Here is a 22,570-nt window from a genome sequence, read left to right as displayed (position 1 = left end):
GACCAAAGATAGATATTTTTTTCCCCACAATTGCTGTTTTCCATTTTATTGCTGTGGCTCGTGATTTTATAAAACACTTCAGTGCTTTAATTAATTTGTTGAGGTACCAGGTGCCTGACACTGTTACAATAGAAGGCACTTCTTTTAGAAATCTAAAGGAAATAATAAAACAATTTCCAGCTCAGTGAATTAGAGCTAATTGTAACCTATGGTACAGAGAGTCACCTCTGAGCTTGTGGACGTTAGCAGGCGCTCACACTGTCACGCATTTTTGGCTGTTAGATTTATTTCTGGGGAGGATAGCTCCTAAGAACTACCACCTTTAATAACAATAATAATAATATCATCATCATCATCATCATCATCATGTTAGAAATTATACTCAATGGTAAATGGAGAATATAAAAGGATTCAGTGAAATTCTATTCTTGGCACTTACTTTGATATTGGTGTCATTATTATATTGCTTTTACTCACCTATTCAAAATTCCAGTGTTCTACTGAACAACAGTGCAAAAAGCTCACCTCTTCTTCTGGGGCCAGCGAACAACCCGCATTCTGAGCTAAGACAGAGGCTCCTCTGACAACACCCACTTTTGGGATCAACACACCAAGTGAAAGTTTAGCCGCTCTGTGACACCAAACTACCTTGTGAAACCAATCCTGGTTCAGGACTGGTGGCACTCAATCACTGTCAGAGCACAGATCAAGGCTCCGGCACCAGTGCTAAGACTTTAGGAAGAAAAAGCTGAGAAACAAAGTTGGTTGTAGAGTTCTCTATTGCTTTAAGTTGAAAAGGGTCCTGCCATTCTCTAAACATATCCAGCGTGACTTTGCCTAGGACTAATAATCATCGTACTGTCACTGGCAGTCTTTTGTCTTCGCTAAAAACAGTATTCTTTCTCGTGCTGTCAATCTTTGTTACTACTTCTATAGCTGATTCCCTGATGTACTGTCTGTCACCCCCTTTCCTGTCCACCCACATGTCATACCGTCCCCAGGGTGAAACAAAAAGATCGCAGCTCAGGCTCACTGCCACCTTGGGGACAGAGAGCTTATGTTGAACGAAGATCACTGACATGGCCAGCTTCAGCTGTTTCAGAACAGGTGTTTGCTTCTCATTTTTCTCTCAAGAGCTGGCAGACAGTGAAGCTAGAATGCACATCTGCTTAGGAAGTACCAGGTTTGTATCGGATAATTAGATGGCCAACTTCTGGAGGGTGGTGGTCACAGACAGCTCACAGGGCACATGGTGGGTCTGGGATGAGAAGTGGTGTTGGTGTGGTGGTGACCCACTCCTGACCTCTTTCCCATCATATTTCTCAGGAAGAGCCACCATGCAGGCTTTAAAGGAGGGGCATGTCATGTTCCCCCATGACACTTTTAGATGTAGGAGTGTTTTGTCATCACCTCCTTCCCCACTGCTTGAAGTATTTCTATTGTTTCTGGGGTGGTCTAAGGTTCAAAGCAGCAAAGCAGGCAGGCATGCCACTGACCTCACCATGCAGGCAGCCAGAACCTACTTAGACTCTTTCCAAAGAAGCAACACTCTGGTCCCCTACAATGTCTTTCTGATTTCCACCCAGCTGAACTAGGAAATGGATATTAGTGAATAGAGGCCTTCAACACAGGGCTTATCAATGGATTCAGAATCTTTAAATGAAGGGAAAATAGAGTAGAATTGCCAATTTCTTACTGACTGGCCCTAGTACACTACCGAACTGTTAATGAGCTTTATCTCCAATGTACTTCCTTTTCTGTGTGAAATATACAAGCAGAAATACCTAGATTAGTGTTTCGTCATGACCTACACACAAAGCTGATTTCACATGCATGCTTCATGTCATGTGGTTTTTGGCGACAAAAACATTTGACACCTTCTATTCAGCACATACTCTGTGAATAAGACTGTGCAAGGCACAGTGGGAAATGATAAGAAATACAGCCAGTCCTTGCCCTCAGGCAATCCATTGTCCTGTAGGAGCCTGGCCAGGCCTGGCTGTTGGTCTTCTGACCACCTTGCCCAGGGCTCTTACCAATTAAGCACATTGCTGAACCACTCTACAACATCTCTAACAGATCTCGCTGGTTTGGGTGCATACTCTAAATCTAGAACACCCTCCTGCCATCTAAATGTTACCCCAATCATAATCTCTTTGTAGCTGGTCCTACTGGCTACATAACTCTGGTTAGGAGAAGATAGAATCCATGCTGATCTCAGTGGCAGCTGGCAACTGTGAGGTCTCCAGGGAGAAGCTGGTGACCTTCTACAGCACAAAGGTGGATGCAAACAGTTTGCGTGCAAAGGCTAGGCGTTGCGTGCAAAGGCTGAGCACTGGAGAGGACACGGCCCTTGAAAATGGAAAGAAAATATTAAAAATTCATCGGCAGCCATCCAGTCCCTATCCAGAGGATTGTAATGGATGAAAAAGCTTGGTTTAATTTTAAAGCTGGAAAGCTTAACTGACACAATAACAAATAGTGCAGCACGGGAACCTCAATATTTATAACATCAGAGATGGCCCATGACCTTCACACCATAGATAAGAAGGCAAAGAATTATAGGACAGAACTTTGATAGCTTCCCACTTAAAGACAAAGCAGTTCACGGGTTTGGTCAGCATCGTGACAGACAGCAGGACACTCTAGGGAGTCCCTGCGCTGAGTTCTTCATGGACTTGGACAGGCTTTATTTTTATCAAACCAATCTAAATTTATTTCAAAAAATTTTGCCCAGTGGCCCACTATTTTCCTACTTAGTACTGGCAATGGCTTGGCTGGGGTGAGCTGGTGGTGGGGAGAAGCTGAGCAGATGGCTTGTGGGTGGGGATTTCCTTCCAGCTGGTCTTAAGTACAGGTCGGGGCAGAAATTACAAATTTGGGCAGCACCAGGCCATCCCATAAGTATGCCCTGTAGGAGCAAGGTACTCCCAAGGTAGGAGCAGATTCTTTTTTATTTTGATGTACAGAAGAACCAGAAAAACAGGAAGCTACAATCAGGGTTTCCAGATCTAACAATAAACACTTTGTTCATATAACCCACTCTCTAGACAAGATAAAACGTGGCATACAGTATTTTCAACTTTAGGAAACTTATTGTGATTTACAAGAAGTACAGGTGCTATTTATCAAGGTAAATCTGAATCCCTTTTTTCTCCAAGGGTGAAAAATAGTGGCTTAATAGTGTTATGACAATTGCCAAATATTTACATTCAAATATGGCTACTTCTGGCCAAGATGAAGTAAGTGGGATTAGACTTACCCTCTCATTTGAAACCAGCAAAAAAAAAAAAAAAAAAATGCCCAAAATATACAAGACAATGGTTTTCAAGACATTAAACTATAGATATTGAAGCACAGTGATCCCTGAGAGTCAGAAAACAAACAAGGTGAGTCTACAGTTGCTTAAGCTCATTGCCCATGTGACTTTTCAAACTGTGATGCAGGGAATCAGGGGACTCAGGTGGAGCCTGGAGGTTTCTCTGAGTTGAGAAAGTGGATCTAGGGGCTCAGGGAGGTCAGGAGTTAGTGCGTACAAGGTAGGATACCACAGAGGATTGAGCTCCACAGAGAGAATTCTGAAGATCTGAAGAGTGACCTCAAATTTTCAGCCAGATTCTGATCAGTGCATACCTGCCTGTGGAGAGAGGATCTCAGGATGGGGACAGAACTCTGCCAAGGATTAGTGGGACAATACTTAGAGTCCACCAAAGGCCACAAATAATTCCTGTTCTCAGCAGCCAGCGTGGAACACCTCGTAATTCATGGGGCATCAGGTAAAGCACTCAGAAGGGTTTTGCTCAGTAGTGTAGAAAAATTAGCCAGGAAGAAGTGCTGATCAGTACCTGCCTAATAAGGCTGAAAAGCAAAACCCAGAATGATCAGACTCCTTCCGAGTGACATAACTTTACTCCAGAAAAAAGCTTAAGAATACTATGGGGGCTAGACATGGTGGCTCATGCCTGTAATCCCAGCACTTTGGGAGGCTGAGGTGAGTGGACTGCTTGAGCCCAGGAGTTAGAGACCAATCTGGGCAACACAGGAAGACCCCACCTGTATAAAAAATACAAAAATCAGCTGTGTGCAGTGGTGTGTGTCTGTAATCCCAGCACTTTGGGAGGCTGAGGCAGGAAGATTGCTTGAGCCAGGGTTGACGACCCTGGGCAATATAGTAAGACCTTGTCTGTACAAAATCCTTAAAAAATTAGCCAAGTGTGGTGGCATGTGCCTGTAGTCCTAGTTACTTGGGAGACTGATGTGGGAGGATCGGTTGAGCCAGGGAAGTTGAGGCTGCAATGAGATATTATCTTGCCACTGAAGTGATGGTCAACAGAGTGAGATGCTGTCTAAAAAAAATACTATGGCAATAAAAATATATCCAATACTCATAAAGGAAAAATTCATAATGCCTGTCATCTAAAAAATATCCCCTGGCATGTAAACAAGCAGGGTTATACAACCCATAATGAGAAGATGCAATCAATTGAAACTGACAAAAAATGACACAGATAACAGAATTACTAGACAGGGACAGTTAAACAGTTATTGTAAATGTATTTCGTATATTTAAGAAGCTAGAGGAATAATTTAACATGTCAAGTAAGACAAGGAAGACAAAAAAGACCTAAATAAGAACTGTAGAGAAAAATTTCCAAGGTCTGAGATGAAAAATACACTGAAAGGATGAAGAGTAGATTAGATACTGCAAAAGAAAAGATTAGTGACACAAATTTTCATAGCAGCATTAATGATAGTAGGCAAAAAGTGAAACAACCAAAATGTCCACCAACTAATGCATGGATAAACAAATTGTTTTATATCCATACAACAGAATATTATTCAGCCATCAAAAGAAATAAAACACTGATTCATGGATGAACATTAAAAACATTATACTAAATGAAAGAAACAGACACAAACAGCCTCAAAGCATATGATTCCATTCACATGAAACTTCCAGAGTAGATTAAATCCATAAAACAAAAAAGTAGACTAGTGGTTGCCAGGGATCACTGAAATGTACACTTGAAAAGGGCAAATTTTATGGTTTGTGAATTATAGCTCAACTAATAAAAAACACTCAATAAGGATATTTTGATAGGCCCATTTGGACATGGGGATATTTGGCTGCCATTTTATCAAAATGCTGGCATCAAAACAGCTGCGTCAGAATGTTCTATCTTTAAAATATGGTCTCTGCTATCAGGAAGGCTGGAGCTACGGAAGACTGAGAGCTCTGACGTGTTGGTGCTTTACATGCATCATCACTCACCTTCACCATAACCCTGCAGCATGGGTAAAATTTCCATTTCACAGAAGAAGAAACTGAGAGAGAAGTTGTATAATTTCCAGGAGGTCACACATGATTCACCAAATTAGGATTTAACTCAGTTCAGTCTATTTTCTGCCAATATCACCTGGCAAGATTTAGAAAACGCTGGGGAAGGGTTTCTAGTGAAGGCAACTAAGAACCAACACTTGCAGATGCATGCAAAAAGAGAATAGGCAGATGGGGTTGTTCAAAGAAGCGAAGGAAGGAACAAGTTTTAGAAAGAAAGGAGTAATCAATAATGTAAAATGAAAGTGCTAAGGAACAGGACATATCTATCAAGAATTAACTAATGCCAGGCACAGTGGCTCACTCATGCCTGTAATCCCAGCACTTTGAGAGGCCAAGGCGGGACGATGGCTTGAGCTCAGGTGTTTGAGACCAGCCTGGGCAACACGGAGAGACATCATCTCTACAAAAAAAAAAAAAAAAATAAACAAAATTAGCCAGGTATGGTGGTACACGCCTATAGTCCCAGCTGCTTGGAAGGCTGAGGTGGGATGATTGCTCGAGCCTTGGAGGTCAAGGCTGAAGTGAGCTGACATCATGCACTGCACTCCAGCCTGGGTGACAGAGGGAGACCCTGTCTCAAAAAAACAAACAAAAAAACTTACTAACCAAGAAATCAGTAGTGGCCTTTGTAGTAGAATAGTGGAGTGTCTAGATGGCAGCAGGTAGAGTTATTTGTAAGCACGGGAACCGGGATGGGGAACATAAACAATTCTTTCTCAAGCCTGGATGTCCAGAGGGGGAGAAAGATGTGTCAGAAACATGAGGGTCAGGGGATGTTTGTTGTTATGGCTTGTTTTGTTTTGGGGATGGGAGAGATGACAGAAAATATAGTTCCTGCCACGATTCAATTTACAGCCCAGGAGGGGAGAGAAACTCTCCTTAAATGAGCCACCCAGAAAGCTTCTCCTAGGCCAGATGTCATTTGAAGGCCCAAAGGCCTGATGGAGGCACTAACCATTTCAGTTGATTTTCTTTGATATTCAGTAATCTGAAAAAAGAAGCATCATCATCAAAAAGAAATGAAGATCTTGGAAAAAGAAAAACTGTCCCTCCCAGATCTCTCCACCATGGTTATGTAGCATTTCCAGGTTGCCATCCTTTAGGACTTGAAATCCACTTCCACCTGTGGTGGCAAGACCCTACACTTGCCCTCAATGATTGCCCCTTCATGTACATACCCTGCTGCTAGGAACTGAATGTTTGTGTCCTCTGAAGATATATATATATATATATATATATGAAATATATATATGCCCTAATTCCTAATGTGATGACATCTGTAAGTGGGGCCTTTGGGAAGTGATTAGGTCCCAAGAGTGGGGCCCTCATGAATGGGATTAGTGCTCTTATAAGAAGAAATATGAGAGCAATAATCTATCTCTCCCACATGTAAGGCTAGCAAAAATGTATCCATCTGCAAACAAGGAAGAGGGCCCTCACCAGAATCCAAATCAGCCAGCACCTTGATCTTGGATTTCTCAGCCTCCAGATTCATGAGAAAAAAAATCTGTTGTTTAAGTCACCCAATCTATGGTATTTGTTATAGCAGCCCAAGCGGACTAAAACAACTGCATAACAACCATGAACATCATGAGATACCACTCTCATGACTATCTTATATTACGTATTAAGAAGAAGATGATCTTGGGTGAGCCTGGCCTAATCAAGTAAGTTTACTAAAAGCAGGGTTTTCTCCAACTGGTCATAGAGGAGTATGTCAGAGATCTGAAGTCTGAGAAGGATTCAACACACCATTACTGCTTTGAAGATAAAGTAGGGCACACAGCAAGGAATGTGGGTGGCCCTATGAGCTGAAGGTGGTCCCTGACTGATAACCAGCAAGGAAACAAGGACTCTGGTACTACAAGCACACGAGATAGACTCTACCAACAACCTAAATGACTTTAAAAGCAAATATTTCTCCCGAGCCTCCAGCCAAGAACTCAGCCTAGCTGATTTCTTCATATTAGCCTTGTGATAATTTGAGCAGAGAATTCAAGTTAAGCCACTTCTGGATGTCTAACATACAGAACTGTAAGTTAGTAAATAAATGTTATTTTAAGAAAAAGAAAGGGAAAGGAAAAGTAGTGAAGATATAGCAAGAGAAACTATCTAGAATGAAACACAGAGAGAAGAAATACTCAAAGAAATGAACAGAATATCACTTTGAACAGGAGCTCTGGGGCAACTTGAAGAGGCCTAATAAATGTGTAATTAGAGTCCCTGAAGACGAAGAATTAGGACTGAAAATATTTGAAGAAACAATGGACAAAACACCCTATTATTTGATGAAAACTGTATAAAAACAGATCCAAAAATTTCAACAAACTTCAAGCACAAAAACAGGAAGAAAACAATATCAAGGCATATTGTAATCAAACTGCTCAAAACCAAAGATAAAGAGAACATCTTTAAAGCAGCCAGAGAAAAAAGACACATTATGTACAAAGACCCAAAGATAAGAATAACAGCAGATTTTCCACTAGAAACCATTCAAGCTGGAAATCACTAAAACAGCATCTTTAAGTACTTAAAGAAAAAAAATGCCAACTTGGATTCTGAACAAAGCAAAAATATTTATCAAAAGTATAGGTGAACAAAAACCAAAAGAATTCACCACGAGCAAATCTCCACTACAATAAATGTTAAAGGAAGTCCTTCAGGCAGAAGAAAAATGATACCAGATAGAAGTGCAGATCTACACAAAGAAATAAAAAATACTAAAAATGGCAATTAAATGAGTAACTCAGACTTCTTCTTATTTAAATTTCTTTAAAAGAAAACTGAGTGTTGATAATCAATAATAATAACAATGTATTATAGGTTCATAATATATGTAGAAGCAAAATATATAATCACAATAGCACAAATGCCAGAAGAGAGATGGAAATATGCTGTTGTAAGATTCCTACACCACGTACAAAGTGATATAATGTCACTTGAAGCTAGAATGTTAAAACTAATGACATATATTATGAACCCTAAAACAACCACTGAGAACACAAAAATAAGAGACAGATAGCTAATACATGAACAAAGGAGATAAATGGAATCATAAAAAACTATCCAATGCCAAAAGAAGGCAGTAAAAGAGGGAAAAGAAAAGAAAGAACATATGGGTTAAATAGAAAATACGGCAAGATGGTAGATTTAATCTCAATAAATCAGTAATAACATCAAATGCATATGAAAGCCGGAGATTTCAGATTGGATAAAAATGTAAGATCTAATTACATGAGGCCTATAAGAAACCTACTTAAAAATCAATAGACAAATAGATGAAAAGGTTAGTATGGAAAGATTATACCATGCTGAAACTAAGAGAAAGCTGAAGTGGCTCTATTAACAATGAAAAAAGCAGATTTCAAGGAAAAAAGTATTACCAGGGATAAAGAAGTTAATTTCATAATGATAAAGTGGCCAATTCATCAAAATGATAAAACTAAAACTTTATATACCTTACAGAGCTTCAGAATACATGGAGGAAAGGCTGATAAAATTGACAAAGGAAACAGACAAGTCTGCAATTACAGTCTGAGATTTCAAGCCCTCTCTCAGCTACTGGTAGGACATGTAGACAGAAAATCAGTAAGGGTATAGAATACTTGACAATGCTTCAACCAACTTGACCTATGACATTTGTAGAACATTCCACATAACAACAGCAGAGTAGACACTGTTTTTAAGTATGCATGAAATGTTTACCAAGACAGACTTTGCTGTGAGTCTTAAAACAAGGCTCAATAAATTTAAAAGGATTCAAGTCATCTGCGACATAATAAGAAATATATATTTGGTCTCTGTCCCCAACTTCTGACACAGAGCTCCTAAAAGCCTTGCACTTTGCTGAGTGATATGGATGCTAGAAGAATCTTTTGTTCTAACATTTGGTTTTGATCCCAGTTCCTGTCACAAAGCTCCTAAATCCCTTGGAATTTCCTGGGTAACAGAAGCATCATTTGCCCTAATAGACTGTCTTGGTGGCTCCTGGATAGTTTCAGGATAGGGGCTGGTCACCAAAAAGACCAAGCCATGATTAGAAGCTTGGAACTTTCAGCTGCCTCTCTCCCCTTCCTCTGGGGCTGGAGATTGAGTTAAGAATCAGTCATGTCTATGTGATGAAGCCTTATAAAAATCCCTAAAGTATAGGATTCAGAGGGCTTCTGGGTTGGTGAATGCATCCAGGTATCAATAGGGTGGAGCAACCTCTCTCTGTGGGGACACAAGCTCCTGCACTTGGGATCCCTCTGGACCTGACTCTGTGTACTTCCTCATCCAACTGTTCATCTGTATCCTTTATCATATCTTTTATAATAAACTGGTAAATGTAAGTAAGATGTTTCCCTGAGTTCTGTGAGCTGTTATAATAAATTATTCAACTTATGGAGGAGATTGTGAGAACCTCCAATTTGTAGCCAAGTCAGACAGACGTGTGGGTCACATACACACCTACTACTTGTAGTTGGCACCTAAAGTGAGGGGTAGTCTTGTGAGATTGAGCCCTTAACCTGTGTGGTCTGTGCTAACTCTGGGTAATTAGTGTTATACTTGAATCAAATTGTAGGACACTCAGGTGGCGTCCACAGAGAAGTGGATAATTGCTTGGTGTGGAAACCCCACACGTGTCGTGTCAGAGGTGCTGTGAGGAGAGGAATAGGGTTTTTTTTTTAATCATCCAAAGTATGTTCTCCAACCAAAGAATTACAAGTTAGAGATCAATAACAGAAAGGTCCTTGAGAGGTCCCCAAATATGTGCAAACTAAACATACACTTCCAAATAACCATGGACCAAAGAAGAAATCAAAAAGGGAAATCTGAAAATATTTTGAACTCAATGAAGATGAAAACCCAGTGTGTCAAAATTTGTGGACTGTAACTACAACATATACAGAGAAATTTATGTACTAAACACATACACAATGAAAGAAAGACCTCCAACCAATGACATCAACTAATCAAACCCAGTATAAGCAGAAGAAGAGTAAAAAGAATAGAAATCAGAAAGTGAGGGAAAATGGCAGACAGGAGGCAGGACTAACTTGAGGCTCCCATTCAGATGGACAGAGCAGCTTGTGGAGACACACTGTGAACTCTGGCTCCAAGAACTACTGAAGAACACACCAGGAAAGCTGAGAGAATCCACGGACCCTTTGAAAGAGGTGGCTTGTGGCTGCGGGCTCCATGACACACTGACAAACTATGAGTGTCTAAAGTGTGAAAGGGGAACGACTGCCCCCAAACACACATCCTCACTGGGGAGCCTGAAGAACCAGATCACGGGAGAAGGATTTGACCTTATAGGGAGCTAAGACAAATTTAGAGAGCTGAGCAAAATATAGGGGTAGGGGAAGCAGTGGGAAGAGTTCCGTGGGCACTCTCAGACCCCAGGGAAGCCATTTCTGCTTTTGTCTCTCAGGAGTTCTTGGGGAGGGGTGCCAGTGGAATTGGGGAAAGACCACAGGGAGAAGGAAAATTCCAGCTGAACTTTGAAACGATTTGTGCAGTTTCCTGGACAGAGTCTGGAGAGGAGGTGATCTGGGAGTACAGACAGGCGCACAGAAGCTGCTGCAGGTGGGGAGACGTGAAACCTTTCTCAGCAGGGAGGCTTGTAGCCTGGGGCATGTCCCTCTCGTGCTGTTGGGGGGACATGGTGGGAGTGAGACTGGCGTTGCTGGCTGTATGGGCATTGGGTAAGGCCTGTCACTGCCAGCTTTCCCCCAGTCCCCTGGCAACCTGCGTGACCCAGCAGAGGCAGCCATAATCCCCCTGGGAACATAACTCCATTGGCCTGAAACCACATCCTCATCCTCCACAACAGCCACAGGAAGCCCCCTCTACCAAGGAGAGTCTGAGCCCAGACATGCCTAAATCTGCCCCCACCTGATGGTCTTTCTCTACCCACCCTGGTAGCTGAAGACAAAGAACACCATCTCTTGGGAGCTCTATGGCCCTGTCCACCACCTAAGAAACCAAATACTTACCACCCAGGTGGCATTAGGGCAAGCTTGTATCCTCCCTACACTACTGCAGCTGAGGCTCTCTTGAAAGCACCACCTCCTGGCTGGCGGCCAACCAACACTAAGCCAGTGCACTAAAAACTACAACCAAGGACCCTCTCTGAGTCCATTTCACTCCCCTGCTATCTCCACTGGAGGAGGTGCTCGTTACTCACGGCTGACAGACCTGAAGACAGATGACATCAGAGGACTCTTTGCAGATACTCCCCAGTACCAGCCTGGAGCCTGGTAGCTCAGCTAGGTGGCTAGACCCAGAAAAAATATAACAATAACTACAGTTCGGCTCTCAGGAAGCCCCACCCCTAGGGGAAGGGAGGAGAACACCACATCAAGGGAGCACCCTGTGGGACAGAAGAATCTGAACAATAGCCCTTCAGCCCCAAATCTTCCCTCTGACATAGGCTACCCAAATGAGAAAGAACCAGAAAAACAATTCCAGTAATATGACAAAACAAGATTCTTTAACATCCCCAAGAGATCACACTATCTCACTAGCAATTGAGCCAAACCAAGAAGAAATCTCTGAATTGCCAGAAAAATAATTCAGAAGTTTGAGTATGAAGCCACACATGGAGGCACCAGAGAAAGGTGAATACCAACTTAAAAAACAATGTTATAGGACATGGATGAAAAAATCTCCAGAGAAACAGCATAAATAAATAAAAAACAATCACAACTTCTGAAAATGAAGGACACACTTAGAGAAATGCAAAATACACTGGAAACTGTCACCAATAGAATCAAACAAGCAGAAGAAAGGAATTCAGAGCTCGAAGGCAAGGCTTTTGAATTAACCCATTCCAACAAAGACAAAGAAAAAAGAATTTTAAAAAATGAACAAAGCCTCCAAGAAGTTTGGGATTATGTTAAATGACCAAATGTAACAATAATTGGTGTTTCTGAGAAAGGAAAGACATCTGGAAGTTTGGAAAACACATTTGAGGGAATAATCAAGGAAAACTTCTCTGGCCTTGCTAGAGATCTAGATAGCCAAACACAAGAAGCTCAAAGAACACCCGGGAAATTTATCGCAAAAGATCATTGCCTAGGCACCTAGTCATCAGGTTATCTAAGGTGAAGACAAAGGAAAGAATCTTAAAAGTTGTGAGGAAAAAGTATCAAGTAATTTATAAAGGAACATCTATCAGATTAACAGCGAATTTTTCAGCAGAAACCCTACAAGCCAGAAGGGATTGGGGTCCTACCTTTAGCCTCCTTAAACAAAACAATTGTCAGCCATGAGTTTTGTATCCAATGAAACTATGCTTCATAAATGAAAGACACAGAATTTTTTCATACAAACAAATGTTGAGAGAATTTGCCACTACCAGGCCAGAACTACAAGATTGCTAAAGGGAGTTATAAATCTTGAAACAAATTCTCAAAATACATCAAAATAGAACCACCTTAAAGCATAAATCTCACAGGATGTATAAAACAATAACAGAATGACAAAAAAACAACAACAAGGTATTCAGGCAACAACCTGCATAATGAGTAGAATAGTACCTCACACCTCAATATTGACATTGAATGTTAATGGCCTAAATGTTCCACTTAAATGATACAGAATGGCAGAATGGATAAGAATTCATCAACCAAGTATCTGCTCTCTTCAAGAGACTCATCTAACAACACATAAGGACTCACATAAACTTAAGGTAGAGGGGTGGAAAAAGACATTCCATGCAAATGGACACCAAAAATGAGCCGGAGTAGCTATTGTTATATCAGACAAAACAGACTTTAAAGCAAAATGTTAAAAAAGACAAAGAGGAACATTATGTAATGATAAAAGGACTAGTCCAACAGGAAAATATCACAACCCTAAATGTATATACACCTAACACTGGAGCTCCCAAATTTATAAAACATTTACTATTAGACCTAAAAAAATGAGGTAAGATGGCAGCACAATAACAGCGGGAGACTTCAGTACCCACTGACAGCACTAGACAGGTCATCAAGACAGAAAGTCAACAAAGGCACAATGGACTTACACTATACCCTAGAAAAAATGTACTTAACAGATATTTACAGAACATTCTACCCAACAACTGCAGAATGTACATTCATCAGCACATGGAACATTCTACAAGATAGACCACATGATAGGCCACAAAAGAAGTCTCAATAAATTTCAGAAAATTGAAATTACATCAAGTACTCTTTCAAACCACAGTGGAATAAAACTGGAACTCAACTCCAAAAGGAACCCTCAAAAGCATGCAAATACATGGAAATTAAATAACCTGCTCTTGAATGATCATTGGGTCAACAATGAAATCAAGAAGGAAATTTAAAAATTCTTTGAACCAAATGATAACAGTGATACAACTTATTAAAACCTTTGGGATACAACAAAAGCAGTGCTACAAGGAAAGAAAGTTTGGAGCATTAAATGTCTGCATCAAAAAGCTGAAAGAGGACAAACAGACAATCTAAGGTCATACCTCGAGAAACTAGAGAAACAAAACAAACCAAACTGAAATCCAGCAGAAGAGAAGAAATAACAAAGATCAGAGCAGAACTAAATAAAATTGAAAGACAAAATAATACAAAAGATAAATGAAACAGCTGGTTCTTTGAAAAGATAAACAAAATTGATAGACCATTAGCAAGATGAACCAAGAAAAGAAGAGGGAAGATCCAAATAAACCTGATTAGAAACAAAACAGGAGATACTATAACTGATACCACAGAGATACAAAAGATCATTCCAGGCTACTATAAACACCTTTACATGCACATAGTAGAAAACCTAGAGGAGATGGAAAAATTCCTGGAAATATACAACCTTCCTAGATTAAACCAGGAAGAAATTATAACTCCAAACAGACCAGTAATAAGCAGCAAGATTGAAATGATAATAAAAAATTGCCAACAAGAAAAAGTCTAGGACCAGATGAGTTCCCAGTTGAATTCTATGAGACGTTCAAAGAAGAACTGGTACCAATCCTATTGACACTAATTCAAAAGACAAAGAGGGAATCCTCCCTAAATCATTCTATGAAGCCACTATCACCCTAATACTAAAACCAGGAAAGAACATCACAAAAAAAGAAAATTACAGACCAATTTCCCTGACGAACACAGATGTAAAAATCCTCAACAAAATACTAGTTAATGGAATCCAACAGCATATAAAAAAGGTAATCCACCATGATCAAGTGGGTTTCATACTATAGATGCAGGGATGGTTGAACATATGCAAGTCAATAAATGTGATACACCATATAAACAGAATTAAAAACAAAAATAACATGATCATCTCAATAGACACAGAAAAAGCATTTGACAAAATCCACCATCCCTTTATGATTAAAACCCTCAGCAAAATCAGCACAGAAAGGACATACTTTAAGGTAATAAAAGCCATCTATGACAATCCCACAGCCAACATTATACTGAATGGGGGAAAGCTGAAAGCATTCCCTCTGAGAACTGGAACAAGTCAAGGATGCCCACTTTCACCACTTCTATTCAACATAGTACTAGAAGTCCTAGCCAGAGTAATCAGACAAGAGAAAGAAATAAAGGGCATCCAAATCAGTAAAGAGAAAGTCAAACTGTCGCTGTTCACCAATGACATAATGGTATACCTAGAAAACCCTAAAGCCTCATCCTAAAAGCTCCTAGAACTGACACATGAATTCAGCAATATTTCAGAATACAAAATCAATATACACAAATCAGTAGCACTGCTATACAACAACAGCAACCAAACTGACAATCAAATCAAGAACTCAACCCCTTTTACAATAGCTGCAAAACAAACAAAAAAACACTTGGAAATATATTACACCTAATTAAGGAGTGAAAGACCTCTACAAAGAAAACTATAAAACACTGCCAAAAAAAATAACAGATGACACAAACAAATGGAAACCCATGCCATGCTCATGGATGGGTAGAATCAATATTGTGAAAATGACCACACTGCCAAAAGCAATCTACAAATTCAATGCAATTCCCATCAAAATACCACCATCATTCTTCACAGAACTAGAAAAAAACAATTCTAAAATTCATATAGAACCAAAAAAGAGTCCACATAGCCAAAGCAAGGCTAAGCAAAAAGAACAAATCTGGAGGCATCACATCACCTGACTTCAAACTATACTTTAAGGATACAGTCACCAAAACAGCATGGTACTCATATGAAAATAAGCTCATAGACCAATGGAACAGAATATAGAACCGAGAAATAAAGCCTAATACCTACAGTCAACTGATTTTCAACAACACAAACAAAAACATAAAGTGGAGAAAGGACACCCTATTCAACAAATAGTGCTGAGATAATTGGCAAGCTGCATGCAGAAGAATGAAACTGGATCCTCATCTCTCACCTTATACAAGAAAATCAACTCAAGATGGATCAAAGATTTAAATCTACAAAAATTAAAGAAACCATAAAAATTCTAGAAGATAACATCAGAAAAACCCTTGTAGACACTGGCTTTGGCAAGGATTTTATGACCACGAACCCAAAAGCAAATGCAATAAAAAGAGAGATAAATAGCTGGGACTTAATTCAACTAAAAAGCTTCTGCACAGTAAATGCAATAATCAGCAGAGTGAACAGACATCCCTCAGAGTGGGAGAAAATCTTTGCAAACTATGCATCTGACAAAGGACTAACATCCAGAATCTATGAGAAACTCAAACAAATCAGCAAGAAAAAAATAATCCCATCAAAAAGTGGGCTAAAGACATGAATAGACAATTCTCAATTATACAAATTGCCAACAAACATGAAAAAATGCTCATCATCATTAATCATCAGGGAGATGCAAATCAAAGCCACAATGCGATAACCACCTTACTCCTGCAAGAATGGCCATAATCAAAAAAATCTAAAAACAATAGATGTTGGTGGGGATGTTGTGAAAAGGGAACACTTGTATACTGCTGGTGGGAATGTAAACTAGTACAAACCACTATGGAAAACAGTGTGGAGACTCCTTAAAGAACTAAAAACAGAACTACCATTTAATCCAGCAATCCCACTACTGGGTATCTACCCAGAGGAAAAGAATTCATTTTACAGAAAAGATACTTGCACACACATGTGTAGAGCAGCAGAATTCACAATTGCAAAAATATGGAATCAGCCCAAATGCCCATCAATTAACGAGTGGATAAAGAAAATGTGGTACAAACGTACTATGAAATACTAATCAGCCTTAAAAAAGAAAAGAAATAATGGCATTCACAGCAACCTAGATGAAGGTGGAGACCATTATTCTAAGTGAAGTAACTTAGGAATGGAAAACTAAACATTGTATGTTCTCACTCATAAGTGGGAGCTAAGCTATGAGGATGCAAAGGCATAAGAATGATTCAATGCACTTTGGGGACTTGGGGGAATGAGTGGGAAGTGAGTGAGGGATGAAAGACTACACATTGCATGCAACGTACACTGCTAGAGTAATGGGTGCACCAAGACCTCAGAAATCACCACTAAAGAACTTATACATATAACCAAACATCACCTTTCCCCCAAAAACTACTGAAATAATTTTAAAAAATAAAAGCAAAAAAAGAGAGATGACATTAGTGTTCAGAGACAGATAATCTATTCATGAATGTACGAAGGCTGGAAATCACAGGAAATCCACAAAAAATCAACATTGCCTGTGCTAAAACAAAACCTGATGACTCCATTTTCTTAAGAGCAAAATTGCAAAAAGTGACATTAACATCCATCCTAGAAGAATGAAACACACATCACCTTTACTGATATGAGTAAATGATTTGTTTTTCCTTGAAAGAGTATCCAAGTGTATTGTGTTCATTTTCACACTGATCAAAAACAGCACCCTTCTGTCAACAGGCATCTGCAGTTTTCAGGACCTGGCAGAAATTCTATCTTCTACCTTTAAAGGTCAGGCACAAAAGTAGAGGCAGCTGCTAGGCCCCTCTGCCCAGAGCCAAGTGACTGGGACCATCAGTGGGAAGGAGGGAGGCTTGAGCTTCCCTCGTCCCCCAGATCATCTGGGTGCTGCCCTCCCCCGCTGCAGCTGCACCCCGTGATGTCCCGAATTCCGCGAGGCACCGGCCTGGCCCGTGCGGAACCCTATGGCCAGAGGGTGCCAGCTTGCGATGCTTTGCGCGCTTTCTGGCGTCCTGATTCCAACGGTCACCAAGCTCAGCACACTTGGCCCCGGCCGCAGACTTCGGAAACTTCTGGAAGCTGAATTTCTAAGAGAACGTCCCGACTACTGCATTGCTGTCATGGGCAACTACTTGAGCTGGTACCTGGGCTGGCCCCGGACCATAGTGCCGCCCCGGGCCAGGGTGCCGCCCCAATCCCAGAAACACCGGGCCTTGCGGTCCAGGCCCCTTCTCCGCTCCCAGGTCAAGGATGGCTGCAAAGTCGTCTACGTCAATGGGAAGCGCTGGGTCCGCACCCGGCCCCTCCTCACCGCTCCTCCCAACTGGGACTATGCCCGTATCCAGAGAGAGATGGTCCCTGAGGCCTGGAGGCACTTTCCCAACAGGCCACCGCTCCTGAGCATCACTGGGCCGGACTTTTCTGAGGCTCACCTGGCCTACATGAAGCAGTGGCTTTGGAAGGCCCGGCACCCCCCAGCCCGTCCGCAGCCTGGTGACAGTGAAAATCGCCCCGCCGGAGCACAGAGGGGAGCCTGTATAAGCGCCACCTCCCCCCAGGCCCCAGATCCCTGTGCCAGGGAGACCATGCTGTAGGCCCTCAGCCAGCACAGCAAGGGAAAAAGGAAATTCGATGAGCCACTCTGGTTTGAGGTCCCAGACACCAAGCGTAGCAAGCAGATCCCATCACCCAGGCTATCAGCTTTCAAGCCCATCAGGAGACATGGAGAGGTCCCCGCCTTTGTGCCCAGGCCTGGGCCGCTCAGAAGAAGCCTCCACTCTCCAGCAGCAGTGTCTTCCAGGAGAAGCAGCCTTCCCTCAGCCTGCTGCCTGCCCTACTGCAGGAAGTACGCCGGCCACAGCCCAGTTGAAGAGCCACCTTGGGAGCTCTAGGAGTAGGTGCAACAATGTCTGTATTGGGCCTTCCTACACCCCAAGGAGCCGCCCCGGGAGGACCATGTACCTCTGCGCACACCCAGCCTGCAGCCCAGCCTAGAGTCAGGGCCCTGCCACCTTCTCCTGAGCCTCCAGACTGCCTCATCCTATTGACCCTTGTTTTACCCCCACAGGAGCCACTGTCCCCACCAGGGCACTTCCCACTGCTTCACCTGAGCATTCTGCAAGCCTCAGCCCCGCCTCTCCTTAGCCTGCAGAGCCCACACTGAAGAGACCGTGTTGCTCTCAAAACCCTTACCTTTCCCCTGCCCACCCACTTCTGCCTTCTCCCTGGGAACAGGAGGCAGGCATATCCTCCACTTTCACAGTTTGCATAGTTAAATATTTGTTCTTTTAAATAATAGTGTCTTTATTAAAAAAATTATAGAAATCAGTTGCAAATCCTTAAGCAAGAAAAGAAAAATTCAAGCCACACCTCACACTATATACAAAAACTAACTCAAGTGGATCATAGACTTAAATGTAAAACCTACATTTTTGTGACTTTGGGTTATGCAACTTTGTTTTTTTTTGTTTTCTGAGATGGAGTCTTGCTCTGTCGCCCAGGCTGTAGTGCAATGGCATTATCTCAGCTCACTGCAACCTCCGCCTCCCCGGTTCAAGCGATTCTCCTGCCTCAGCCTCCCAATTAACTGGGATTACAGGCTCACGCCGCCACGCCCAGCTAATTTTTTTTTGTATTTTAATAGAGACTGGGTTTCACCATGTTGCCCAGGCTGGTCTTCAATTCCTGAGCTCAGGCAATCCATCTGCCTGGGCCTCCCAAAGTGCTGGGATTACAGGTGTGAGCCACCGCCTCTGGCTGCAAATATTTTTTAGATAATACCAAAAACAGTGTACAAAAGAAAAAAATCATGAATTAAACTTAGTTAAAATTAAGAACATAACCTCTTCAAAATGTACTGTTAGGAGAATGTGAAACAAGCCCTAGACTATCGGGGAAAACTGTGTATCATTTAGCTCATATAAGAATTACAGAAAGAAAAGGTAGGGTGGCTGGCAAGATGGTCCGGTCATGGCCAGGCACAGTGGCTCACACCTGTAATCCCAGCACTTTGGGAGGCTGAGGTGGGCAAATCACGAGGTCAAGAGATCGAGACCATCCTGGCCAACCAACATGGTGAAACCCTGTCTCTACTAAAAAAAAAAAAAATTAGCAGGGCATAGTGACACACACCTGTAGTCCCAGCTACTTGGGAGGCTGAGGCAGGAGAATTGCTTGAACCTGGGAGGCAGAAGTTGCAGTGAGCCGAGATTGTGCCAATGTACTCCAGCCCAGGCAACAGAGCGAGACTCTGTCTCAAAAAAAAAAAAACCAAAACAAACAAACAAACAAAAAATTAGCCAGGGGTGGTGGCAGGCACCTGTAGTCCTAGCTACTCAGGAAGCTCAGGCAGGAGAATCACTTGAACCCGGGAGGCAGAGATTGCAATGAGCCAAAATTGTGCCACTGCACTCCAGTCTGGGTGACCGAGTGAGACCCCCATCTCAAAAAAAAAAAAATAGAAAAATAAAAAATAAATAAAACAGCTCTGGTCTGCAGCACCCAGCGAGATCAACGCAGAAGGCGGGTGATTTTTGTATTTCCAACTGAGGTACATGGCTCATCTCATTGGGACTGGTTAGACAGTGGGTGCAGCCCATGGAGGGTGAGACAAAGCAGGGTGGGGCACTGCCTCCTCTGGGAAGTGCTAGGGGTCTAAGAACTCCCTCCCCTAGCCAACAGAAGCCATGAGGGACTGTACCATGAGGAATGGTGCATTTGGGCCAGAAACTGCGCTTTTCCCATGGTCTTCACAACCCACAGACCAGGAGATTCCCTTGGGTGCCTATACCACCAGGGGCCTGGGTTTCAAGCACAAAACTGGGTGGCCATTCGGGTAGACACAGAGCTAGTTGCAGGAGTTTTTTTTTTTTCATATGCCAGTGGTGTCTGGATCACCAGTGAGAGAGAACTGTTCACCCCCCTGGAAAGGGGGCTGAAGCCAGGGAGCCAAGTGGTCTAGCTCAGCAGAACCCATCCCCACAGAGCCCAGCAAGCTAAGATCCACTGGCTTGAAATTCTCGCTGCCAGCACAGCACTCTGAAGTCAACCTGGGACCCTTGAGCTTGGTGGGGGAAGGGGCATCTGCCATTACTGAGGCTTGAGTAGGTGGTTTTCCCCTCACAGTGTAAACAAAGCTGCTGGGAGGTTTGAACTGGGCAGAGCCCACCTCAGTGCTGCAAAGCCGCTGTAGCCAGACTGCCTCTCTAGATTCCTCCTCTCTGGGCAGGGAATTCTGAAAGAAAGGTAGTGACCACAATCAGGGGCTTATAGATAGAATTCCCATCTCCTTGAAACAGAGCATCTGGGGAAAGGGGCAGGTGTGGGTGCAGCTTCAGCAGACTTAAATGTTGTTCCTTCCTGCCAGCTCTGAAGAGAGCAGTGGATTTCCCAGCACAGCGCTGGAGCTCAGCTAAGGAACAGACTGCCTCAAGTGGGTCCCTGACCCCCATGCCTCCTGTACTGGGAGATACCTCCCAGCAGGGGTCAATAAACATCTCATACAGGAAAGCTCCAGCTGGCGTCCGGCGGGTGCCCTTTCGGGACAAAGCTTCCAGAGGAAGGAACAGGCAGCAATTTTTGCTGTTCTGCAGCCTCCGCTCGTGATACCCAGGCAAGCAGGGTCTGGAGTGGACCTCCAGCAAACTCTAGTGGACCTGCAGCAGAGGGGCCTGAATGTTAGAAGGAAAACTAACAACAGAAAGGAATAGCATAACATCAACAAAAAGGACGTCCACACAAAAACCCCATCGGAAGGTCACCAACATCAAAGACCAAAGGTAGATAAATCTATGAAGATGAGGAAAAACTAGCACAAAAAGGCTGAAAATTCCAAAAACCAGAATGCCTTTTCTCCTCCAAAGGATTACAACTCCTGGCCAGCAAGGGAACCAAACTGGATGGAGAATGAGTTCGACGAACTGACAGAAGTAGGCTTCAGAAGGCAAGGTAAGGAATCTAAGAACCTTGAACAAAGGTTAGAGGAATTGCTAACTAGAATAACCAGTTTAGAGAAGAACATAAATGACCTGACGGAGCTGAAAAATACAGCACAAGAACTTCATGAAACACACAAGTTTCAATAGCCAAATCCATCAAGCGGGAAAAAGGATATCAGAGATTGAAGATCAACTTAATGAAGTAGAGGGTGAAGAAAAGATTAGAGAAAAAAGAATGAAAAGGAATGAACAAAGCTGCCAAGAAATATGGGACTACATGAAAAGACCAAACCTATGTTTGACTGTACCTGAAAGTGATGGTGAGAAAGGAACCAAGTTGGAAAACACTCTTCAGGATATTATCTAGCAGAACTTCCTCAACCTAGCAAGACAGGCCGATTGGGGGAACCCGCCCCCGATAATTCACATATGTTCTTTTCTATTTTCCCTAAGTGTTGGCCGGTCTGAGAAATAAAGGGAAAGAGTACAAAAAGAGAAATTTTAAAGCTGGGTGTCTGGGGGAGATATCACATGTTGGCAGGTTCCATGATGCCCCCCAAGCCGCAAAACCAGCAAGTTTTTATTAGTGATTTTCAAAAGGGGAAGGAGTGTACGAATAGGGTGTGGGTCACAGAGATCACATGCTTCACAAGGTAATAAAATACCACAAGGCAAATGGAGGCAGGGCAAGATCACAGGACCAGGGTAAAATTAAAATTGCTAATGAAGTTTCGGGCACACATTGTCACTGATAACATCTTATCAGGAGACAGGGTTTGAGAGCAGACAACCGGTCTGACCAAAATTTATTAGGCAGGAATTTCCTCGTCCTAATAAGCCTGGGAGCACTATGGGAGACCGGGGCTTATTTCATCCCTTATCTACGACCGTAAAAGATATGGTCATCTCCAAAGCAGCCATTTTAGAGATCTCTCCTTAGGGACGCATTCTCTTTCTCAGGGATGTTCCTTGCTGAGAAAAAGAATTCAGCGATATTTCTCCTATTTGCTTTTGAAAGAAGAGAAATATGGCTCTGTTCCGCCTGGCCCACAGGCAGCCAGACTTTAAGGTTATCTCCCTTGTTCCCTGAACATTGCTGTTATCCTGTTCTTAAGGTGCCCAGATTTGATATTGTTCAAACACACATGCTCTACAG

General features: G+C 42.3%; 1 protein-coding gene across 12 annotated transcripts in view; it reads right to left on the bottom strand.

Moving 5' to 3' along the window:
- MTUS2 (microtubule associated scaffold protein 2) overlaps window positions 1-22,570 on the bottom strand; it is a 685,985-nt gene that overhangs the window by 148,407 nt on the left and 515,008 nt on the right. The window lies entirely within an intron of this gene.

Source organism: Homo sapiens, chromosome 13, assembly GCF_000001405.40.
Source record: "Homo sapiens chromosome 13, GRCh38.p14 Primary Assembly".
Taxonomy (NCBI): domain Eukaryota; kingdom Metazoa; phylum Chordata; class Mammalia; order Primates; family Hominidae; genus Homo; species Homo sapiens.
This window is presented reverse-complemented; position numbering and strand designations above follow the sequence as displayed.